The sequence below is a fragment of the Homo sapiens genome, chromosome 11 (assembly GCF_000001405.40).
Source record: "Homo sapiens chromosome 11, GRCh38.p14 Primary Assembly".
Lineage (NCBI taxonomy): Eukaryota > Metazoa > Chordata > Mammalia > Primates > Hominidae > Homo > Homo sapiens.
Window position 1 is genome coordinate 17,468,047 of NC_000011.10, and position 25,177 is coordinate 17,493,223.

The 25,177-nt window shown below is 49.1% G+C and overlaps 1 protein-coding gene and 1 long non-coding RNA gene across 7 annotated transcripts in view, besides 1 other annotated feature; one reads left to right on the top strand and one right to left on the bottom strand.

The window, feature by feature from the left end:
• The window catches only part of ABCC8 (ATP binding cassette subfamily C member 8), an 84,348-nt gene extending 75,549 nt beyond the window's left edge, over nt 1–8,799 (bottom strand). For all 6 annotated transcript variants that reach the window (NR_147094.2, NM_001351297.2, NM_001351296.2 and 3 more), the window contains exons 1-3: nt 8,583–8,799; nt 6,840–6,981; nt 2,055–2,176 (exon numbers count right to left, since the gene is read on the bottom strand). Coding sequence is in view for 5 of the 6 variants with exons in the window: in NM_001351297.2 (NP_001338226.1) it covers nt 2,055–2,176; nt 6,840–6,981; nt 8,583–8,730 (412 nt within the window). In the remaining variant the exon portion in view is untranslated. The remainder of the gene's footprint in view (nt 1–2,054; nt 2,177–6,839; nt 6,982–8,582) is intronic.
• Nucleotides 7,455–8,011: an enhancer, noted in NCBI's record as "H3K4me1 hESC enhancer chr11:17497048-17497604 (GRCh37/hg19 assembly coordinates)". NCBI's record gives its function as "activates a minimal SCP1, AML or CMV promoter by ChIP-STARR-seq in naive H9 embryonic stem cells {active_cell/tissue: H9 hESC(naive)}" and the evidence as "EXISTENCE:reporter gene assay evidence [ECO:0000049][PMID:30033119]".
• On the top strand, nt 8,605–24,319 carry LOC124902641 (uncharacterized). The gene is made up of 2 exons (XR_007062609.1): nt 8,605–8,685; nt 23,974–24,319. It is a non-coding gene; the product is annotated as an uncharacterized LOC124902641 (long non-coding RNA).

A 25,177-nucleotide genomic window follows, 5' to 3' on the forward strand; every position in this document is an offset into this window, starting at 1 on the left:
TACTTCAGAAATGGAAGCAGGGTGGCTCTCTGAAGCCTGTATTTAACATCTCCCCTCTCAACCTGCTTCCCCCAGCTCCCATTCATACTCATGTGGGGGCCCCTGGGCTAGGGGTAGGGGGATCACCTGGATAATCCTAATGGAGCTCAGATCCCACCTTCTACAGAAAGGCAGACCTGTGACTAGTGCAAGAAACACCCTGTACTCCCTGACAACACCATGATGTCACTGGCTTAGCACAGAGTGTGCCAGACTCCAAATGTCAATTCGATGCTGTGATACCTAAAAATCAGTCTGACTTAAGGACATAGTGTGAACAAAGTCTAACTGCCAGATGTACAGCCCCAGCCTTAGACACACAGGCTGAACCCCAACACAGAGGCAGACCTGCGGATTGATACCTTTACCCCAAGGACGAAGTCTGAGGGCCCTTAGACACGCAGTCTCAGAAATGATTAGGAGATTGCACAGATGCTAGACTCCCGGCTGTGCCCCTTGACGAGCTAGACTAGTGCCAGTTATTTAACCTCTGAGCCTCAGTTTTCTGATATGTAAAGGGAAAATAATAATGGTACCTACCTCATAGAGTTGTTGCAAGGATTAAATGAATTAATATATCACATAGGTAGGATGGGGCCTGGCATACAGTAAGTACAAAGTGAGTATTTACTGTTATTATTTTTAACCTCTCAGTTTCAGGGTCCACACTGGAAAATGGGGATATTAACAATACCAATAAGGAGGCTGGGGGAATTAGCCTGTGGGACAATGAATGTAAGGAACATGGCATGGAGCCTGCCCCATGGCACATGCTCAGTAAACACCAACCATCATCCTGTTGCTTCTGCCTGGGACCCCAGTCCTGCAGTATTTAACATCTCAGAAGCTCTAAGTGGGCAGTCCTTCCCGAGTCTCTCTAAATGTTAGCAAACCTCAAGCTCTGGTCCCAGAGCCTTTCTCTTCTCTCCCCAGGTGACCTCATCCAGGCTCAAGCTTTCTTCTCCCTCCCTCCTCCCTCCCTCCCTTCCCTCCCTCCCTCCTTCCTTCCTTCCTTCCTTCCTTCTAGATGGAGTCTTGCTCTGTCACCCAGGCTGGACTGCAGTGGCGCGATCTCAGCTCACTACAATCTCCACCTCCTGGGTTCAAGAGATTTGACTGCCTCAGCCTCCTGAGTACCTGGGACCACCGATGCGTGCCACCATGCCCAGCTAATTTTTCTATTTTTAGTAGAGGTGGGGGTTTCTCCATGTTGGTCAGGCTGGTCTCAAACTCCTGACCTCGGGTGATCCGCCCACCTCGGCCTCCCAAAGTGCTGGGGTTACAGGTGTGAGCCACGGCAGCCAGCCCCAGGCTCAAGCTTTAGATGTCATCTACAAGGCCCACCTCCTGAAAGTGTAGCTCCTGTCCTGACCTCCCCATGAAAGCCCAACTTGACACTTGAGTTGGCTGTCTCTGTGACATCTCAAACTCGATATGCCCCCAGTAGAAAACTTTATCCCCACCACAGCCCACCTCCCCCTCCTCTGTCACATCAGTTATTGATGCCACAGTTCACCCAGGCTCTCAGGCCCAGAGCCTGGGACTCTTGCTCGCTCCTCTCCTGACGCCTGCCCTCACCTCCCACTCTTCCCCTTGCTCATTTGGCTTTGCCCACAGTGACATCTTTGCCAAATCTATCCCTATCAGAGGACTTTGCACTTGTCACTCCCCTTGCAGGGAATACCTTCCCCCAAATATCTGCATGCCCACAGTTACCACAGCCCTTCCCTGACCATCCTGTGTAGATAGCAACATTGTCATTGCCCCTACCCCTTACTCAGCTTGATTTTCTTCATAGCATCCCCACCACCTATTTGTTTGCTTGTTTATTCACTGTCTTTGCCTGTCTATCCTCCTTCACCAGACTGTAAGCTCCATGAAGGCAGGGATTTTTTTCTTTTTCTATTCCAAATCTCTACTGTTTAGAGCAATAGCTGGCACATAATGAGTCCTCAGTAAACATTATCTGAAGAAATGAATGAAGGTACTGCCCCTCCCTCCTACACCTCACCTACCAATTAGCAGCTTGGGGAAGTTGGAAGTCTCGATGTTGTGATAGTAGACCACGGAGGTGACAGCAGCCATGAACGCCATCCCGGCTGGCATGTACAGGTGCAGATGGTGGGATTCGGTCACCCTGAGATGGGAGAGAGAAACAGACAGGATGGGGACATGCTAAGTACTGCAATAGAGCAGCCCAGGCCTTGAATTTCAAAGGCTGAACACTGAACCTTTATAGCATCACTTTATAGGCTGCAGGGCCCTTTAGTTAATGGGCGTATTTGGGGTATGGGCTGGGCAGAGCTGCCAGTACATGGAGTAGAGCTGGGTATATGATCTGGAGGCCTTACTATGTGCTGAGCCCTAAGCACAAGGGTTGCTGGGGTCTCTTGAACAGTGCAGGGGCCTGTATGCCACAACTCACCCAGTGACAGCCCCATTTAACACGAACAGCATAAGTCAGCACTGGCGCCCTCCCCAGAGGCTGTGATAACAAACTGATGAGAGTCAGTATTTATGGAGCATTTACTCTGTGCCAGGCACTGTTCTAAGCATGCGATATATGTTAACCCATTTAATCTTCATTAAACCCCATCGAGTGGGTACTCTTAGTCTCCCATTTTATGGGGTGAGGAAACTGAGGCACGAAGAGGCATTTCCAAGGTCACTGATTTTGTCTCCTCTCTCGGGATGGGGAATGGAGCAGTCAATACCAGCTCATAGTCTCTCCACCTTAACTCACAGAGGCCTCTAAGTGGGTGGACTGTGGCCTGGGGGTAAGACCCAGAGGCAGCCAGAGCCTCCTTCCAGGCCTCAGTCTTCCCTGGGCCTGGTGAGGAGGGTCACCTTAGTTGGTCGTGATCATGCCCTTCCACAGCTCCCTCCTGCAGACAGCAAAACCCACTCTGCTCAGCCTGGAACGAAAGGCCCAGGCTATGTGGCCTCCAGCCACTTTATCAGATCTGCCCAGCCTGCCCTTTCTGCTCCAGCCCTGTGGTACCCACTCCATTCCCAGATGGCCTGCTACAGCTTGCTGCCTCAGTGCTGCTGTTGCCCACCAGGCTACTTCTATCCAGTGTGCCAAGGGTCCCTGCCCTTGAGAAGCTGATGGTATGGAGGGGGCTGCCATGCTCAGAGCTAACTGTTGGAGTCAGCAGGCTAGGGAAGTGATACTGCCGATGGACAGAGACTGAGAGAGCACAAAGGAGGGGGTGGGCAACCAAGGACAGCTTCCCAGAGGAGGTGGCACCAGGCTGGACTTTGAAGGATACATAAGAGTTCAACAGAGAAGGAGGAAGGACATGAGGAGAGCTATCCTGTGACCTCAGTGGGTCTGGTGGGACTGAGGTGCAAGTGTAGAGGCAATGTGGGCTGTCCACCAAAGAGTATCTTCCCCTTATTCTGTGCCAGGAGGACCACAGGTTTGCTCCAGCAGCAATATACCCAGCCCCAGGGAATGGATGGTGATTGGTTTAAGCAGCCATGCAATTCCATACTCCTTTGCCAGTGTTGGTCCACGTATTCTGGCCAGTGAGATGTCAAAGAAAGAATGATCTCTGTCATAAAGGAGAGGCATGTCGGCAGCATGCCCTCTCTGCTCATGCTAAGCAATACCCGGAGCTAGGCAGCCACCTTGTGACCATGGGGAAGATAGGCTGACACACACACACAGGATGGTATGGAAAGATGGGAAGAGGCTGGGTCCCTGAAAACATCAATAAGCATCAAACCAACTTGAAAAGGCAAACTCCACATTTCTTTTTTAATGAAATGGTAGATATTGATATTCTTTAGTGAATATTCTCCAAAAAAGGTCTTCAAACTAATATAGAAGGTACAAGACAGACAAGGCCAGAGAGCAGTCATGAATGGCAACACTGGGCACAGCCAACACCCTTCCTGGGGATCTTCAAAACTCTTGCCTCTTTACTCCTTGAAATAATTTTGAAACACCCTCTACTCTCTCACACATTTTTAAGCTGACATCTAGACATGTTTTATTATATGCTGATATAAATGCTTTTTTTTGCAATAGGAGGTAGAAATGTTAAAATTTTATAAGACGAAATAAGATGAGGATTAACCATAATTGAACTAAATATTTCATGACATGGCTTCATAGAATAGTTTTTAGCTGCTTTGTTAAATAATACACATTCAATTAGTTAAGAAATTAGGTAAAGTTTTATATACAGGCTTTATCCAGTGTATGGTGGTCTGGGAAAATATTGTAGTTATTAAAAAATATCTTCTTCACTAACTTATACTGTTTTGATTGTTCTGAATTCAGAACATCACAGAAAGAAATAATACCCAAAGGAAGAGGGGAAGCCCTACAGGTTTAAGATGGCTTAATTAGTCACTAAATGAGGCTCACTCTAAATCAAATCAGGGCTGCCTTAATCAGCCCCCTCCCACCTGCCCCCTAAATTTCCAGACAGCTCTGAAAACCCAGGCTGGATTAGACTGGAGGTATCACAAGGGTCTGTGACTTCTCCTGTCTGCTCTTTTCCTGCCCCTCACTCAGGCCTGGGGGTAGGAGCTCACAAAGACCAGATGACAATTACTCAGCTTGAGCTGATCTGTGCCCTGGGGAGGAGATGGCCCTTTGCACTGAGCTGAAGCAGTACAGCCACACACAGGAGGGGCTGCTGACAGCCAGCAGGAGGGCATCCCTGGACCGATTCATTCCAGTTTCCCACATTCTGGGAATACACAGTCTACCCAGTGCTCTGCCACTCCGGGCTCTGCACCCTGTCCATGCTCGAATTTCACCCTCCACAGCCCCATGAAGCAGGCAAGCCAGGGACTATGATGCTTGTTTCATAAGGCCAGAGAGCAGTCATGAATGGCCACACTGGGAACAGCCAACACCCTGCCCAGGGATCTTCAAAACTCTTGCCTCTTTACTCCTTGAAATAATTTTGAAACACCTTATACTTTCTCACACATTTTTAAGTTGGCAACTAAAATGTTTTATCGTATGTTTATAAATGCTTATGAGGCCCAGAAAGCCTGAATGACTTGTGCAAAGTCCCATAGCTGGTACACAGCAGCAGTGCTCACTGAAGACCCAGGTCTTCCTTCTCCAAGGGCGGAGGTGTCTTTCTCTGTCACCATCTGGTGAGTATTTCCCATCTGAGGGCTCACTGTGGCATTTGTGCTACTTTGGAAGGGGTGTAGGGGTGGGGGTGGAGGCGGACTTGTCACGTGCTTGTGTAGCAGTATGCCTTCTGGTCTTCTTGCTGGTCTAGGGACTTTAATAAGCAGGCAGAGCTGCTGCCTCCAAGTCAAGCAGGTATTTTAGAGATCACTGCTGAAGCCAGGATGCAGGGACATTGGGGAAGGGAAGGTGGGGAACGGGAGGGAGGATGAGGGAGCCTATCCCCTGCCATCCAACTACAGGAGCCAGGCAGCACTGCAGGAGTGCAGTCTGGGTATAATCTGATTCCAGCTCAGGGGGCGCTGGACCTCAGATACTCAAGCCAAATATCCCTCTCCTCCACCACTCCCTCTCCTGGCAGTCTCTCATCCTTGCTGGTTACTGGATTCTTCCTTAGTGAGATGGCTGCTCCCGCTCCTCTTCTGTCCCTGACTGCTGACACACCATTTCTGTCTGCAGTTATTGCTCACCTAGACTACTGCAGTCAATGCTAAGTCCTGCTTCTATTATACCTCTAGATTCTCCCTGCCTCCAGCCTGCGCTGAACACCTCAGGTTCCCACCTAAAAGTGTTATGCTGATGACATCTCTCTTCTGTTCCAAACTGCTGACCAAATCCGACCCAAACATGCAGGCTGGGATTCACAGTCCTCCTGAGATGCCCCAACCTGGGTTCCCAGCCTCAGCCTCCATCGCTCCCCAGCCTGTGTTTAATGCTCCAGCCCCTGCGCTGCTCCCTAGCCCTACCTGCTTTTCTCTTTGGTGCCTTTTCCCTTCCCTCAGGCACCACCAGTTCTCTCTCTCCTTCCTCCTCTGTGTGTCTGAAGCCTAGTCACCCTTCCAGACTCCGCTCCAAAGCCCTCTCAACCATGGAGCTTGCCCAATTCTGCCTTCCTCTCACCTCCCAGAGTACTTATTTGTAACATGGTTTCATTCATTCTCCTAAGGACCCAATAAATGTTTATGGACTGAATAATGTTTATGTTTATCACATGCCTTGCACTGTGAACACAAAGATGAACAAGACTCAGATTCTAACTCTTAGGCCTTTCTGACTCTGAAGACAGTTTTGCAAATAGACATAAACTTTAACATACAGTGTGATCTGTGCTGTAGCAGAGGTGTGAGGAGTGTGCTGTGAGGCCCAAACGGAAGGTGGGCATGGGGAATGAGGCCAGAGATAGGTGGGGCTGACTGTGAAGACCTTGAATGGTGGGCTGAGGATCTGAGACCACATCTTCAAAACAGCTGAGAACCAAGGAAAGGTCTTATGCAAGAGTGGGTGGCATGGTTAGATTTTTTTTTTTTTCCAAGAAGGTAACTCCGGCAGGTTGTAGAAGAGGCCAGACATTTTTCACTGGAGTTGTGGCATTCTAATAGGCTCTAGCATTATTTCACTGGGACTTGGCATGCAGGTCCGTGTTCCCTCTGCTCTCCTGGACTGATGGCAGGGCCTGGGACTCACTTGCGTCCAGTGCCCAGCTCAGAGAGGTTGGCACATAGAAGACACTGAGCTGCTGGATGTAGTAACAAAAGACATGGGCTTGTGGAATATAGGTGAGCTAGGATCTCCTTGGGCCTTTCAGGAAGTACCCTGGAGCAGATTCACTTTCCTGAGTCCTCAGACAGTCACTCACCCATCAGACAGGATGCCCTCTGCAATCTCACACACCAGGACGAAGAGCAGCATGAAGGTCAGGATCCACCGCAGGTTGTGCCCAGGGAAATGAAGCCATGTGCTGTGGTGGATGTGCACCTTGGAGCTCTGACTTCCCCATCCTGCAGGGAGAGACAGTCAGAGGCAGGATGCCTGCCCACTTGGAGGAGGAAGAGGGTGCATGAACCCCAGAAAGGTGCTTGGGCATTGGGTCCATGGTGAGGGTGACACCTACACATGAGGATCCCCAAGGCTGGTACACACAAACTAAACGTCCAACTCATTCAGCCTGGTCCTATGCTGGTACCTCCCCCACCACACCTTTTTACTGAGACAGGGTCTTGCTCTGTTGCCTCTGCTGGAGTGCAGTGCCACGATCACGGCTCACTACAGCCTTGATCTCCTAGGCTCAAGTGATCCTCCCGCCTCAGCCTCCTGAGTAGCTGGGACTACAGGCGCACATCACCATGCTCAGCTAATTTTTAATTTTTTGTAGAAAGGGCGGGGGGGGTCTCACTATGTTGCCCAGGCTGGTCTCGAACTCCTGGACTCAAGCAGTCTTCCTGTCACAGCCCACCAAAATGCTGAGATTACAGATGTAAGCCACTGTGCCCTGCCAAGGTACCCCATTATACATACTAACTTCTTGTGTGACAAGTCATCAGGTTAATAAACCGTTTGGCTGAGAACAGAAGTGTAAATGCTGTTCTTTTTTGATTTTTGATGCACATATGAGCACATATTTTGTATGTTTTATTTCTATTTCTATCTAACTGTCTTTGTTAATAACTAGCAACTCTGCTTCTGCAGCAACCTCTTGTAAATCTAATTTTGTGACAATCTTTCCTTTCTTCCCCAAAGCTGTATATGAATTTTAAGATTTGCTTGTTTTCTTAAAGTGAATGAACACGTTTTGGGGATGCAGGGGACACCCTATGAGTTGATAGACTTGACTGGTCTGGAAGAGTCAAGGTCTTGGAGAGAGATGGGGGGGACCTCAGTGGAGAGGCACGCACGATTGTCCCGGCCGTGGCGCCCAACTTTGCAAGCAAGGGCGCCGGGGTCGCTGCGTCGGCGAGTCGGAGCTACTTTGCGCAGAGCCTGAGAAGTTGCGCTCTGGAGACACATGCCCGGGTGGGGTGGCGGGGGAAGGGAATCCAAGTCCCTAGCTCTCGCCTCTCCTCGCCCAGGGCGCGGGCCTGGGACTGTCAGAGATCACGGACCACTGCGCGGCTCAGCCCGGTGAAAGCATAGGGGTTAGCTGGGCCTCCATCCCAGACTCCAAAGCACAGGCTTCCCTCTTCCCTAGGCCCAGCTGCGGCTGACAGGGAGGCTGCCTTGCGGGAGGGGTGACCCGGCTCCCTAAGCTGCGCCACGGAGGGTGAGGCCCGACCCCTCTCCAGTTTCCCACTGCGTGCTGAGACCTCCTCTTTCCCTTTTCCCCATCCCAGCTCTTGGCCCTGCAGAAGCAAAACTTGGTGATCCCATGGGTCACAAACGTCCGCTGTGTTTGGCGCGGGATCGGGGGCACCGGGGGAGTGAAGGGATGAGCTGGTGTGCGAGTGCGGGGACCGGCGGGCAGGACACAGGGCAGGGGACCCCGGGAACGAGGCGGACGGCGGTCGCGGGCCGGAAGGGGACGCCGAGCGGTGCGGCGCGCAGCGCCTCCTCCTCCCTCCCTGCTCTCCCGTCCCCTCCTCCGCGGCTCGCTGCGCGCACTCACCAATGAAGAGGATGGGGAAGGTGATGAAGAGTAGGAAGACGTGCGGCACCACGTTGAGCGCGTCCACAAAGCAGCCGTTGTTGAGGACCCCCTGGTCCACCCGGTAGGCGGCCGAGTGGTTCTCGCTGCCGCAGAAGGCCAGGGGCATGGCGGCGCGGGCGCGGGCTGGGCTCGGGCTCAGCTGGCTCCGCTGGCTCCGCGCGCCTGCCGCGCCTCTGTCCCTTGCAGCTCCGCCGCCCGGCCCGGCCGTCAGGCCCCCGCCCCCCGGGCCCCGCCCAGCCCCGCTGGCCTCCCCCTCCCTCACCCCGCCCTGCTCCACCACCTGCGGGGCCGGGGGGCGGCGAGGAACCCGACCGGCCCTGCTACGCTTGCGCCCACCTTCCAGATGTGGAGGCGCGTGCTCCCAGATGTTGCCGGGGTGGCTTCGTGAGTGCCCTGATGCACGCGTGCGCTGGGGGAGAGGGGAAAGGCAGGCTAAGATGGGGAGTGGGGTGTGGGCACACTGGAGTCTGGGTGGGAAAGGAGGGTGGGGCGTGCAGAAGAGGAGAGAAGGGCCCGCAAGGCCTGGAGTGGGCGGGTTCAGGGTCCCGAGTGTGAGTTCACCTGGGCGTGGTGCGGATGGATGTAGAGAGCCGAGGGATGGCGCAAGTCTCCACCCAACATGGATGAGAAAAGTGGGGCAGAACGTTACCTTGTGGTGGTGGTGGTGGTGGGGTGGGGCTTGGACATTTTCAAAAGTGGTCCCAGGTGGGGCACTCCTAGGTACTGCTTTACAGCGTATCTGGCACTTTCACACAAGGGATGTCCCAGAACTCTTGCTAAGTACAGGTTCTAATCGCTTCCAATTTTCTGATGGGGAAACCCAAGCTGCGAGGGAGCTGAAGGGAGGCCAGTAACATGACTTCCCCCAAGGTCTCAGTGCCAGCAAGCAGGGAAGCATAGCTTGAACCCAGCTCCTCAGGTCCCCCGTCCCCACCCCCATCATTTGTACTCATGCCTCTGGTACATGACAACCTTACAGCGACTGGCAGACCAATGGGTAGAATGGGTGACAGCCCCAGGCTGATAAAGAGGAGTTTAAGAAACGCATCTGGCCAGATGGATGTGAGGCAGTGGAGAGGGACTGAAATTCTTAACCTCACCTGGGACAGGCTTAACAGTTGGAGGACACCGTGCAATTGTAAAGACAACATTATGTCTTCCTATACGTTTTGGAGAGATTCTCACAAGACTGTGGCCCAAAGAAGTTTATATTGTATGTAGAAAGAACAGAAGATGGGATTTGGGGGTTAGATTTAAGGAGAACTTTCCTAGTTAGGGTATGAAGCATAAATGCACATGTTCTTAGGAACAGTCAGGGGAACACAAAAGAAAGACCCCTTCAGCCCCTTTGCCTACAAGCTTCACTGAGCCTGCCCTGAGGCTGCTGAGCCTGGTGAGCCTCTCCAGCACGCTGTCAGCAAGGCCGAGGCTCTGCCCAGGCCCTGAGGCAGAGGGCAGATGGGGTTGGGTGAAAAGCCTTGGGAAAGCAGGAGTTCAGGGTCTGAATGCCTCAGTCTCTGACTTTGGAGAATTTCTCAGAAGCCAAAAGATGTTTCTTGCAGCATCAGCCAAAATAGTGAAAACTTGGTGGCAAGAAATATCCAGCACCAGGGACAGGGGTTAATCAACCTTGAAAAATGCAACTGCTGGGACGGTGCTAGCTGAGTCTGTGTAGTCAATAGAAAAACTTTACAAGATAGTGTCAGGTGAAAAACGGCAAACAAAATTGTGCTTCCCATGATTATAGCCGTACGAAATATGTATACTTGCATGAAGCCTGCAGGGAAAGGTCAGACTTGGAAATTTGGTAAGGCGGTGCTCAGTATGTACTGGCTGCCGTCGCTGTGCTTATCCTCATTCCCTTTCTTTAAAAATGAGACAACTGAGGTTCAGAGAGATGAGATGACAGGTCCATGGTCACCCAGTAAGATTTTTTCTTTTAGTTTGTTTTTCTTGCTTTCAAGGTTTTTTTTTTTCATATTTTCTGCAATGTTGTTATTTTCTTTTGTAGTTACAATTTCAGTTTTTTCACACTTTCAGCAATGCTATCTTTCTTTTTAGCAGTAATAATATATTTACTTTTAAAGAACAGGGCTCCTAGTCCTGGCTCTACTACTACTAGTTGTGTGATTTGGGGGCAGGTTACCATTCTGCACTTCAGTTTCCTTATTTCTAAATGGAAAAGATAATAATATGGAACCCAGAAGATTAAGATGAGATCATGGGTATGAATGTGCTTTGCAAGTTGGGGAGATAGTCCAAGCTACTTCATCCCATGGGTGACTACACACGGCAGCCCCTTGATCAATCAGGGTTATTTAATGGTCTCTCCCTCACCCCACATTGCCTGGTGCAACCCTCACACTTGCCTATTCTGGGTCATTTGAAACAAACAAAAAGTCTGGTGTTAAGGGAGCATCAACTGGGACTAAGAGAGTGTTAAGTCTGGAGTCTTGGGGACTCGTGTTTGCCATCTCTAGCACAAACTTACTGTGTGACTGTGGACAAATTCCACCTTTCCCTGCACCTAGGTCTACACTGAGGACATGCACCACACTGCCCACCATGTGGGTGGGAGAATTACTTTGAAAAAGTGTGGAGTCAGGTGCGCACGGAGGCATGAAAGGACTTCCTTTGTAGTATATGGGTTGTATTCCTGGAATCAACCCAAATGCTCATCAGTATGGGGCTGGTTCAAACAGACAAAACCCAAACAGACAAAAAACAGATATTGTCTGTACTGTGGGATACTGTGGAGCAAGCGCAGAGAATAGAGTTATGCTTACTGGCAGGGGAAGATGTCCAAGACACAGACGCAGAGCGGTGTGTGGCATACAAAATCATTCATGTCTGTAACAGGGCTACGTCTGCCTCTGTCGGGGAGATGCTGGGTCTCTGGTGCTTCCCCACCTCTAGCCATGCCTTTTGTTTCTCTTGCTAGGGGCTGGAAGAAGGTCAGACTCTGAGAGCTTGCTTTGAGCAAGGGTACCCCGCTCTGAGAATTCCCAGCCATTCTCCTGGCAAAATGAAAACTAGGGCTGGATTTCCGGGATTGGATTCTCACACTCACCGGCTACTGGGTGGGTGTGGCCTCAGGCAGGGTGCAGTAAAGGGGCTGGTGCAGAGCTTCAGAAAAGTCCTTTCCAGATCCCTTGAGCCAGGGAGGTTAAGGCTGCCGTGAGCCATGATCGGGCCACTGCACTCCAGCCTGGGCGACAGAGAGAGACCCTGTCTCAAAACAAAACAAAACAAAACAAACAAACAAAAAGTCCCTTCCAGCTCTGATGTTGTTCTGGCCTTAGTGCCTTTGTCTCTATCTGGCTGACTAGGAGTGCCAGTGTTCCAGTGACCATGGCAGAGGGGGTCATTACAATGACAATGGTGACGTAATGGAGTGGGGTTATAGTTGAAGAAATAAACCCTTTCAATAACCACAATCAACAGCGGCCTGGTTAAAAACAGACAAAAGCAAAACTCATGGTGTGACCTATACTATGGAATAGTGGAGAACAAGTACAGAGCCTAAGTTCGGGTGACCCTTACTGACTGGGAAAGGTGTGTCCTTTCCTGTCTCCTTCAGGTGCTCAAAGCCTGTATCCACAGGGGAACTTGGAAGACTGTAGAACCAGTGAAAGAGAGGACTGATGTAGAGACAAAATGTCTTAACTGGAACCTGGGAGGGAGAAGTGATCTCCTGTCTCATCTCCATCCTGCCCCATGTCAGGAGGAGGGAAGTAGAGAGAGAAGTTCTTTTGAGAGGGAGCCTGTGCCCAGCCTCCCTGCCTGTCTGTTGTAGAGGTGGCTGGGGGACAGCCACCCAGAAAGGGCAGGTTGTGTGTAGACTGTGTTAGAAAATCCATACAAGGGCTTTTTAGGTTTTTAAGATTATTTTTTTTTTCCTGTAGAGATGGAGGTATTACTGTTTTGCCCAGGCTGGTCACAAACTCCTGGCGTCAAGGGATCCCCCCCGCCCCCTAACCTTGGCCTCTGAAAGTGTTGGGATTACAGGTGTGAGCCACTGTGCCTGGCTCACATACAAGGGCTGTTTTGAAGAAAGGTGTTCTTGTCCCAGGGCAGGGCCTCTAGACAACAGAGGCAGGGGACCCTCAGCCATACTTGAATGGCGAGGGTGAGGCAGGAACAAGACGAACTCTCCCCGGTCTCTTGGCATCACGTAACTGGAGAGGTGGGGAAGGAAATCCAAGAAGGCCCAAGGCTAATGTTTTCTGCCAGTCTAGTGGGATGGGGACTTGATACAGAAATTAAATAACATTCTTGCTCTTGCCCACTTAAGTTTTGGTCCAAGATCCCCCTCACGACAGTAACACAATGCAGAAGGGTAACTCCTACGGATGGCCTGGTTGCTCTATACCCTTGAGGCCACTTAAGGTCAAACTCAGCATCTCCTTGCATCCTCTAAAACAGCCAACACCCAGTCCATTGGTTTAAAAAAATGAAAGCTTTACTGAGCTCTTTACAGAGAGCTAGAAAAGTTGTAATTCACACAACTCACAGCAGAAACTTAGTAAACCCCCGTATTTCTCCTGTACCCCCAGTGGTCTTCTCCTTTGTGTGTATCTCATATCTCCTCTTCCTTTCTTCCACACGGTGTCTTTTTTAAAAAACATGCCCATTGTGACCCAGAGCAAGTCAATATTTGCCTTCAGCTTGCTTACCCACTTAGGACTTCTCTAGCAAGTCTTGCTCCCTTCCCAAGCTGCTGGTCATCCCCAAACCTGCTCTCTTCCTGGGAAGATTACTGAGGATAAGATTTTCTCCTTTTTGTTTCACCAATAGTTGTTGAGTGCTTAGTATATGCCAACCACTTTACGTGTTTTAAATCTCACAGTAACCCTGCCTAGTAGTTACAACTATCGGAGAACTGAGACTCAGAGAGGTTAAGCCCCATTCCCTAGTGACACAGCTGGAGGAGTTGGTGAAGAAAAGACCCAAACTCAGTGAGGCCTGGCTTCAAAGCCTGTGCTGTTAACCACTTCCCAAAGGGATCCTGGGGGTATCGAGGATTTTTCTGCTTCTGAGACTTTGGCTCCTGAGGAAGGAGCGCAAGGCCCAAAGAACAGACCTTTGGGGAAACCTGTGTATCTGTGCCTTTTGCCTTTTCTCTGTGTTAGAACCCGAAAGAAAGGCCTAGTTCTGTCACTGTTATCAGTCGGGGGTCAGATGGGAAGATTCGAGGGTGATGGGGCCCTGCTCCCTGGGGCCTTATACCCGTGGGTGAAACAGGTACACAAATGACCCTGCAGTGATTTGCTTTGGAGACAGCTGCCACTGCTGATGGAAGGAAATGTGTGTGAACAGCACGGCGACAGCTCTGGGTCTGGCCCAATGCTGTGGAATCCCATAAGGTGTGCTGGCTGAACCCGCTCCCTGCTCAGGGCCACAGTGTTGCAGACTGTCTCTCAGAGTTCAGCCAAAGAGGACTCTGCTCTCTGGCCCAGCCAGGACCTTGACAGATGCCTCTGGCTGGCACAGCATGGCCTCAGCTGTCTGGGCCTGGAGGGTCCTGCTAGAGCTGGGGCCGAGGCCAAGTGATGCGAGGGCACTGCTCAATAACTTCCCATTTCCTGTATGTTCCTCTCTTCTCCCCAGAGGGACTTCAGCTCCTATCCCCTGAGCAGAGCTTGCCTAAAACCAAACTCTGTGGTGGGGAAGTTTAGGTCCTGGCATTACCCCTGACCAGCTGTGTGACCTTGGGCCAGTCAACCTCCCTAAGCCTCAGCTGTCAAATAGGAAGAATAACCTCTCTTTTATGGGTTGTGTGTGTGAGAAAGCCTGGCACAAAGGAGACACTCGAGTCAAGCTTTTCCACTTTCAGGTCAGCCGAGGGCTTCTTGTCTGAAATCCCAAGATGGTCACTGATATTTATTTTTATTTTTGTTTTTTTAATAATTGATTGAGTTCCTACCTAGTGCCAAGTCTTTTATTACATTTTCTGGCTTAGTCACCATCTCTCTTTAAAGCAGGTAGTATGATTGCTATTACCAAGTTGAGAATAAGGCAGAGAGAAAACCTTGGTTGACCAAGGTCATCCAGCAAAGAAGGTGTCAGAGTCCGGGTTCCTACTGGGGCAGCCTTCTGAGATACAGGGATGGGCTTAGGCAGGGGTGGGATAGATGAAGAAGGCGAAAACGGGAGTGGAAGCTATCCCTTTGGAAGGGGGTGTGATGTGGTGGGATGGGGGACTTGTCTGGATGCAGTGTCTGCAGAGCAAGCCCCCTGTTCTTATTTATTTATTTAATTTTTGTGGATACGGAGTAGGTGGATGTATTTATGAGGTACATGAGATCTTTTGATAATGTATAATAATCACATCAGAATAAATGGGGTATCCATCACCTCAAGCATTTATCTTTTCTTTGTGTTATAAATAATCCAGTTATACTCTTTGAATTATTTTATTTTTTGAGACGGAGTCTCACTCTGTCACCCAGGTTGGAGTTCAGTGGCATGATCTCAGCTCACTGCAACCACCACGTCCTGGGTTCAGGTGATTCTCCTGCCTCAGCCTCCCGAGTAGCTGGGATTACAGGCCCACACCACCATGTCGGGCTAATTTTTTTGTATTTTTAGTAGAGATGGGGTTTCACCATGTTGGCAAGGCTGGTCTTGAACTCTGACCTCAGGTGATCCATCTGCCTAGGGCTCCCAAAGTGCTGGGATTACAGGTGTGAACCACTGTGCCCGGCCCTCTTTGAGTTATTTAAAAATGTACCAATAAATTATTGCTGACTGTAGTCACCCTGTTGTGCTATCTAAATACTAGATCTTATTCATTCTATCTAACTATATTTTTGTACCTATTAATCATTCCCCCCTTCCCCCGCTCCTCCACCCTTCCTAGCCTCTGGTACTTCTATTATCTATCTCCATGACTTCAGTTGTTTCCATTTTTAGCTCTCACAAATAAGTGAGAACAGTGAAATTGGTCTTTCTGTGCCTGGCTTATTTTGCTTAACATAATGATCTCCAGTTCCATCCATGTTGTTGCAAATGACAAGATCTCATTTTTTATGGCTGTATAGTACTCCACTGTGTATAAGTACCACGTGTTCTTTATCTGTTCATCTGTGGATGGACAATTAGGTTGCTTCCATATCTTGGCTACTGTGAACAGTGCTGCAACAAACATGGGAGTGCAGATATCTCTTCAATATGCTGATGGCCTTTCTTTTGGGTATATACACAGCAGTGAAATTGCTGGACCATAGGGTAACTCTAGTTTTAGTTTTTTGAGGAATCTTCAGACTGTTCTCCATAGTGGTTGTACGAATTTACATTCCCACCAACAGTGTCTGAGGGTTTCTTTTTCTCCACATCCTCAGCAGCATTTGTTATTGCCTGTCTTTTGGATATAAGCCATTTTAACTGGGGTGAGATAATATCTCACTGTAGTTTTGCTTTGCATTTCTCTGACGATCAATCCCCTGTTCTTACTTAGACTTGGCTGGTTGAGTGCGTTTCCATACATAATGTATATAGTTGACTTCCTTTTTGCAATGGACTGAGTGTTTAGGTACCCCCCACCCCCGAATCCTAATCCCCAAGGTGATAGTGTTAGGGGGTGGGGCCATCCGGAGATGATTACATCATGAGGGCAGAGTCCTCATGAATGGGATTAGTACCCTTATAAAAGAGGCCCCAGAGACCTCATTTGCCCCTTCCACCATGTAAGTTTACAGTGAGAAGATGGCCACCTATGAGGAGGCAGGTCCTTACCAGACACCAATTCTGCTGGTGCCTTGATCTTGGACTTCCCAGCCTCCAGAACTAGGAGGAATAAATGTCTGTTGTTTATAAGTCACCCAACTTACGGTATTTTGTTAGAGTAGCACAAACTAAGCCACTTGTGCACTGATGAAAACTTGCTATATAAGTGCAGGTAAGTGTGGCTACACGTGAGACCATGATTCTGTGGGAGAGGAGGGAGGAAGACCCTTCTCTGGTACTTGGCCAGAGAAGAACCTCTCCAGTCAGGGCAAACAGAAACCTGAAAGGGAGAAAGAGTGTGAGAGAGAGAGTTAGGAGTGAGAGAAACATGGAGACAGACTCACAGCCAGTACCTAACATTTACCTGCTGTAAGACGACATTGCCAAAGTGCCTCCTCATGCCCTATGTTGAGCCAAAAGGTATTTTTTAGCTAAAATTTGTACACTAAAATTTCAAATCGGTGAATATATTAAATTTGAAGGTTTTTTTCCAGTGTGTCCTTGAGGAGGTAATTATTTAATGATGCAAGTGCTCTGAGGCTTGGGCAGAGGACAGAGGCTAGAGAAGTTCTGTTTAGAAGAGCAACCCCAGCAGTGTGGAGAGAAGCATCACCTTTTCCACTGAAGCCAGAGAAATCATGTAAAATTCCTCTGCTGCCCCAGAGACTGGTCCCCTGGTGGGTTGGAGTAGGGGAGGAGAGTGTTGAGGTGTTGCTCATTCCCCTAATGGGAAATAACCTGGCTCAGCCAGGGAGTGCACCAATGTGTAACTGAGACAGTCAGTAATGGGCATTTATTAAGCACCTGCTGTGCCAGCTGGGTTTCTCTGTAAGCCTGCGAAGTCAATATTATTGTGTCCTTAGGAAACTGAGGCCCAGAGAGGCTAAAGGACTTGTCCTAGCTCACACAGCCCAGTAAGATTTGGAGCATAGATTGGAACCCAGGTTAAGCTGGGTCTGCTTTCTGTACTGATGGTTTTCAAAAAATGTGGTCCCTGGGACCAGCAAGATTACATGGGAATTTGTTAGAAATGCATATTCTCAGGTCAGCCCCTAACCTACTAAATCTGAAACTCTAGTCCAAACGTCTGCTTTAACAAGTCCTCCAGGTGACTGTGATTCATGCTAAAGTTTGAGAACCATTTCTCTCCACCACATTGTCTCCAATTAAGGAATAATAACTGATGGTCCCTGCCCTTAGGGGTTTACAATATGGCTGGGAAAACAAAAGAAATATATGTTTATTTAAAAACAAAAAGTTGTCTGGGAGCTTCCTAGAAGCTTTAGGGGAAGAGGTGGCCTTGAGGGTTGGCCCAGTCTGTACAGGTGAAGAAGACAGCCTGGTTGGGAAGGATATACCAGTGTGTGCAAAGGAGGGGCCGCTGAGATACAATTTTCCAGATGCAGTGAGTGAACAAATGAGTCTTTCTAGGATAGGGTGCAGGCTGAGGGGAGTCATGGAAAATAATGGGGTGGAGGGAGGCTGGATTGTTAGTGCTTCAGAACTTTCAGCCAATGAGTTCCCCACATAGCTTCTGCTCCTATAGGCAGCCATCATTCATTTGACAATCTATATTTACGAAGCACCTGCTGTGTGTGCCCAGAACAGGGCAATGGAAGCTAAAAGCAGGCCTTCCCAGAGGCTGTGCTGTTCCCTCTTGGGGATGTCACCTCCAAATCCCCCAGCCATCTGACGACCTGCTTCTCAGCTTTTAGCACTGGGCTCCGTTGTCACTTTCTAGTTAACCCTTTCCTGGTCCTTCCCCGAGGTGGGCTGACTTAAAGGCCCCTCCCCTGCATCCCCCTTCCTAAATGCACTTATGGACTCAGAGTTAGGAGCTGCAGGCCTGACGTAGCTGCCCACTGGATGGCTGTTGGACTGTGTCGAGGGTCTGGAATCACATAAGACAAAATTTTGCTCCTTGGTACCTGTCAGGTAAGTGATGGGGCCTGCAGAGTAGTCTGAGCTGGCTCACTGGTCTCAGGATCACCCTTGACCAACGAAGAGTCTGTGGCCAGAGTGGCCAGCTGTGCCACATACAGGCAGAGAGGGAGAGACTCTGCTTCCTTGGAGGCGGCTGCTTTCTGTGCTTGCCGAGAACCTGCTGTCATTGGCCAGCCTGCAACCATCATACTGTTTGCACACGTGGACTGTGGGGAAATAACATTTCCTTGAATTTCTCAGTGCTCCTGTAGAAAGCCCTAGTCTCCTGAGACTTGAAAATGTATATGACATAAAGGAAAAGAAGTTGTGCTTTCACCTTCCTTGGGAGCATTCTGCCCTTCATATAAGCATGGGAATCAGATCTGTAGCTATGTGTCTAGTTAATGGTTCTGTTCTAAACGGATAATAAAATGTGTCTACTCATATGAGGTACCTGGAATAGTCAGATTCATAGAGACAGAAAGGAGAACGATGATTACCAGGGGCCGCGGGGCGGGGAGAATGGGAGGTATTATTTAATGGGTACAGAGTTCAGTTTTGCAAGATGAAAAGAGTTCTGGAGATGGGTGGTGGTGATGGTTGCACAACAGTGTGAATGTACTTAATATCACTCAACCATACTTAAAAATGGTTACAATGGTAAGTTTTATGTTATGTGTGTTGTACCACATTTTTTTTAAGGATAAAAGAATTCTTATCTCCCCAAGGGGGCCAAAGGGTTACAGCTAGGGCTAGGTCCCCAGGCTAAGGTCCCAAGGTGCCAGGAAGACTAGAATGCTATCTCCCTACCTAAATCCCTAGGTATTTCTTTATTTTAATTTTTGTGGGTACATAGTAGGTGTATATATTTATAGGGTATGGGATATGTTTTGATACAGGAATGCAATGTGAAATAATCACATCATGTAAAATGGGGTATCCAGGGCCCTCAAGCATTTATCCTTTGAGTTACGAACAATCCATTATACTCTTTTAGTTATTTTTTAAATGTACAATTAAATTATTGACTATAGTCACCCTGTTGTGCTGTCAAATACTAGGACTTATTCATTCTTTCTAACTATTTTTTTGTACCCATTAACCATCTCCATCTCCCTCCCCACCCTCCCATTACTCTTCCCAGCCTCTGGTAACCATCCGTCTACTCTCTATCTCCATGAATTCAATTGTTTTGATTTTTAGATCCCACAAATAAGTGAGAACCTGTGATGTTTGTCTTTCTGTGCCTGGCTTATTTCACTTAACATAATAGCCTCCAGTTCCATTCATGTTGTTGCAAATGACAGGATCTCATCTTTTTTTATTGCTGAATAGTACTCCATTGTGTATATGAACCACCTTTTTTTCTTCATCTGTGGATGGACACTTAGCTTGCTTCCAAATTTTGACTATTGTGACAGTGCTGCAGCAAACACGGGAGAGTAGATATATCTCACAGATACTAATTTCTTGTCTTTTTTTTTTTTGAGACGGAGTCTCACTCTGTCACCAGGCTGGAGCACAGTGGTGCCATCTTGGCTCACTGCAACCTCCATCTTCCGGGTTCAGGTGATTCTTCTGCCTCAGCCTCCCAAGTAGCTGGGACTACAGACGCGCGCCATCACGCCCAGCTAATTTTCTTTTTGTATTTTTAGTAGAGATGGGGTTTCATCATGGTGGCCAGGATGGTCTCGATCTCTTGACCTCGTGATCTGCTCGCCTTGGCCTCCCAAAGTCCTGGGATTACGGGCATGAGCCACTGTGCCCCACCACAAATTTACTTTCTTTTGGATATATACCCAGCAGTGGGATTGCTGGATCATATGGTAGCTGTATTTTTAGTTTTTTGAGGAAACCTCCAAACTGTTCTCCATAGAGGCTGTACTAATTTACATTCCCACCAACAGTGTACGAGGGTTCCCTTTTCTCCACACCCTCGCCAGCATTTGTTCCCCTAAGTATTTACATTCAAAAAAGTTAGAGTGAAAATCCAAGATTCTTTCTATCCCTTCTCAAAGAAGAAAAGGTTTTTGTTTTGTTTTTTCCCTTCACCTCTCAGGAGAGGAGGCAGGGACGGCTGTCTAACTTCTGTATATAAATGGAGAAAACCATTGTTTTTGGTCTCTCACTGAGTGTCCTGCCACTCGGGGAGGAGACTTTTTCCTGTAGGCTTTTAACACATCAGGCAGGGATAAGGTCTGGGGCAAGGGAAGCTGACACACTTATTTACTGTAAGGTAACTGACAAGAAATCTGTCTCTTCTACCTCCTGTGTGCATTAAGGATAAAATTAATAAAGATGAATACTAAAACCCCAACATGTACATATGTGTGTACCCACATGCACGCTTTCAACTGGTGGTTTATTGGGGGTCCCTAGGGAAAGGGAAAGAGCTTAGAGGATTTCCTGCAGAGAGGAGAAGTTGCTACAGGTGTAAGTGCTACAGGTGTAAGTGGGGGGGCACAGTAAGGAACAACCCTTGCCTTAGAGCCTCCCCTTAGGAAACTCCATCCTCAAGAGTGAGATGGGCCCCAAGCTGCTCTTTCTATAGCATTCATCCCAGATTTTAAGTTAATATTAATTTCAGGGCCAAGAACTATTTCTAAGCAGTTTATCTGCATTTCTTTTGATCCTCACAATTCTATGAAGTAAGTTCTATTTATACCCCCTTTATAGCTGAAGAAACCAAAATGAGAATTAAGAAATGTGACCAAGGTCAGATTTCAGTTCTCGCCCCTGGACATTTGGAGAGCAAGTATTGGAACCCTCATATCTTAGCCTTGGGGGTCCTGTGGTCATGAAAGATCACATACCATTTTTCACTCCCAACTGTTGGCCGACTACCCAACCCTGGCAGCTGGGAGTTGGTGAGGGTTCCACATACCAAGAGAATGAACCCCTGGTGTCTTGGCCACAGGCCCCTTCCAGTGTAGGTCGCAGGGAGAGGAAAAGGGAAGAACAGGTGAAAAGGAGGAGAAAGGGCACTTGTGGGGACAAGGGTTCTCAGGGGACACCCCTCTGTGTCTCCCTTAGATCCATTTCTCCTTCTTCTGCAACAGCCCCCAATTTTCCTTTTGGAACCCACCTTTCCCCTTTACCTAGTCCATGTGGTACTAGAGGGGCTAACTCTAAACCCTGGCTACATGAGTGGGTGTGTGACCCAGGTCTGGCTAATCAGGGATGGCCACACCCGCATGTTGAGCTAATCAGAGTAAATCCTCAGGATTTAGCTGGAATTATTAGGAAAAAGGTGTGCTTTTCCCCCTGGGGTTGCACTACTTGGTGGAATACATTTAGAATAGCAGAGGCCATCTTGGCATCATGTGGAAAGAGCCCATCTGGGAATGAAGCCAAATAGAGGAGTCCAGAGACAGCACAGTGGTTAATCTTATGTGTCAACTTGGCTGGGCCACAGTGCCCAGATATTTGGTCGAACACATCTAGATGTTGCTGTGAAGGCATTTTCTAGATGAGATTAACATTTAAATCAGTAGACTTATCCTCCATCATGTGGGTGGGCCTCATCCAATCGGCTCACAGCTTTAAAAGAAAAAAAGTCTTATGTCCTCCTAGGAAGAGAGCATTCTGCCAACACACTGGCTTTGGCCCGGAGCTGCAATATCAGCTCTTCCCTTGTCTCCAGCTTGCTGGCCTGCCTTGCAGGGTTTGGCCCTGCTGGCCTCCACAATTGTGTGAGCCAATTCCTTAAAATAAAAATCTCTCTCTCTCTCGCTTCAATTTCTCTGGAGACCCCTGACTAACACAGATGGCCAGAATAGATACATCATTTTAATATCTCGATCCAGCCAAACCTGACATCTTATACTCCTGGGTTTTTCACTTAACTGGTCCTCTTCAATTGGGTTTCTGTCACTTGGAATCCAAAGGGTTCATTTCAGGAGGGAGCGGTGTGCTCACATTGACTGAAATCTCATTCTATGCCGGGCTCAATGCCCTCCTTTGACAGTTGACCTAGGCCTTAAAGGGTGCATAGGAGTTCACGTAGGCATGAGGAGGACAGGGTAGAGTGAACACGTGCAAAGACACAGAGAAGCGATGGAGCATGGCAGGCCAAGGAAACCAGAGAGGTTGATGTGGCAGAAGCAGAGGAAGTCATTTGGCAAGAACTGGGGCTGGAGAAATGGTCTGGGGGCCAGAGGATGTAGAACTTTGGATGCCAGGCTGAGGGGCACATGAAATCAGACTCCGTACATCGTTTCTTTCTCATCCACTTGAAGCAGTATAGCACTGTGGTTAATGACATGGATTCCTGGAGCAGCCCTGCCTGGTCTATACTACTTACTATCTATTTAACCTCAGGTATGTTACTTAATGCCTTGGTGCCTCAGTTTCCCTAATGAAGATAACAGCATTGGCTACCTCATAGGATTCCACGTAATGATTAAATGAGTGACCACACATTTAGAGTTCAGCACAGTGCTTGACAAGTAGTAAACACCTAGTAGTTCGTAACAATCTTATTCCTACGAAGGCCAGTGGCAGGCTCCTGGGCTGCAAACACCAGGCCCCAGAAAGACAATTGCAGCCCTCTACCCTCTCCCTGCGTCAGGCAGCCCACCTGCCTTCCCCAGGGGGCTGCTCCTGCTCACAGAGGGATGGCCAGCCTGGCCTCCAGAGAGCTGGAATTGTCATTGCAGTGACAGGAGAGAACAGGGCTCTCAGCTCTGGAAACAGATTCTTATCCTCATCTTGGTCTTGGGAATTAGGCTGGAACTGGGTGAGAACAAGCTTCCCAGCCACACAGGCCCAAAGAGAGTCACAGAAGTACAGAGGCCATAAACTCAGCCCTTTCCCCTCTGACTCCCAGATACGGAGGCGAGAGGCTCAAAGCCAGCTCGGCAAACCCTGGGGACTAGCTGTGGAAAGCAACTTCAATGAGATGCGTAGAATGCCAAAAGTTCAGAGTCAAAGGGCATCCTTGGATTCCCAGGCTTTTTAGGTTTGTGTTTCCACTGGGTGGTGCAGAGAAAGGGCACCTCTGCCACCAACTTAGGGGGATCCTGACAAATCATCCCCTCCTTGGGTTCAATTTTCCTGAACATCCAGTGATGGGGGGGTTAGGGTCTAGGGTGGCAAACAAGGTTCATCTTTTGGGTCAGATTTGAGGAGTGGTAAGTGGCTGCCTGGCTGGCTGGTTAGAGAGTACTGGCCCATGGGCAGTCCTTGCCCTAGTTTTAGCCCTAAAATGCTCAGTCTTGGTCACTGAAGTGGATCCTGATGTCTGGCTCAGTCCTCCCACGGACTCTGGCCCCAGCAGTGTTCCTATGGCTCCCAAAGCGAGTCAGGAGCTGATTTAGATTCTACCTCTATACAAATTCTTTGGCTCTTTCCCTTCCTACCTGGTTAATGTCAATGTCTGCTGGAGAGAACTATGCACTCTGGGTTCAACGTGAGACAACTTTCTAATGAGAGTTCATTTCCTTGATGACAATGAAGAGAGCATCACAAAAAAGGAAGCTGAAGCCCATCATAGCCTACGCACTTTGCCAGCCCTAGGTGGCCTCCTGGCTGAGGGCTATGCCATCCACCTCCCCCGGCTCCTCTCAGTCCCCCTTCCTGCCCGGCCCAGTGCTCATCCTCCCTGCCCTTCTCCTCTAATCAGGAGCTCAAAGCCTCTTTACCGTCTCACTCACCAAGTCCGGATAAGGGCTGATAAACTCATTCACTCCTGCTACAGGTGAATTTCCAATGGTGAGATTCCAGGCACTGACTAGCTGAAGGCCTCAGCAGAAGTTTTTGTAGGGCACAAGAGGAAGTGACCACTACCCAACAGCAGAACAGTCACTGTTCTTCAGTGGTGGGGAGAAGTGTTCTGCCAACGGCCTGGAATTTGAGACATTCCGATGGGAGCTGCCTTGCCCTCTAGAGCATATGGTGGAAACGGGTGTGCACAGTCTCTGGGACCAGAGTGCCTGGCTGGAGTCGCAGCTCTACTACTTCCTCACCGTGTGACCTGGGGCAAGTGACTTCACCTCTTTTTATATCAACTGTCTCTTAATAAAATGAGGTTGTTGATAATAATACTACCTGCCTCATGGAGTTGTTGATGGAATGTATGAGCTGAGTGCTTAGAACAATACCTGGCACTTAGTCAATGCCATCTGAGTGTGGGCTGCTATCACCAGGCTCCTGGGATGGCCAGGCATGAAGCCCAGGTGTTGCAGTTTGAAACAGCAGACAAGGGTCTAGCCTAGGCCAGGCACATGGGTGACAGCAAATAGGAGCTCCCTCCTCTTACCTGGGTTTTGGAATTTTCTCCAGAACCAGGTTAGGTGCCTGACAGGAAAACACAGGGAGCTCGTCTGTGTGGCTGCTGTCTCTGAGCGCCAGTAATTTGAAGGTCACTGTGGCTTTGTCTTCATCGAGGACATCAGAAAGTTTGGCAGTTTCTCTGCTCCCTCTCTCTGTCCCCACCCATTGATTTCTTTCAGTCCCACATGGTAGTCGCTGCATTTTGGTCTGAGCCCCTCTCCCCTGCCATGATTCTGGGAGGTGTTGAGAGCCTGTCTGTTTTATTACCAAGTTCTCGGGATCCAGCTTAGTCTGCATCCACTGTGGGATGAAGTGGGGGATTCAGCTGAACATAGGGCTGAACCTGGGGGATGGGCAGTGGGTGTGTCCCCGAGGGGCTCTCTGCAGTGTCCCACCTCAGGAAGGGGTTTTCCTGTGGTCCCCTCACACAGAGGCACTCTCCCTAAGACTGCCTTCCCTTGGGACCCCAGTCCACTTCCTTTCCATACCCAGGGTTTGGTGGGGGAGGAGAGATGTCATAGTCATCCTCTGGTAGGGGTGGTGATCATGACTTGCTGCCCACGGTCCTTGCTGCCTCAGCAGCCATGTTGGGTGGGATGTGACCCCACCCCCGGCCACAGCTGATTGGA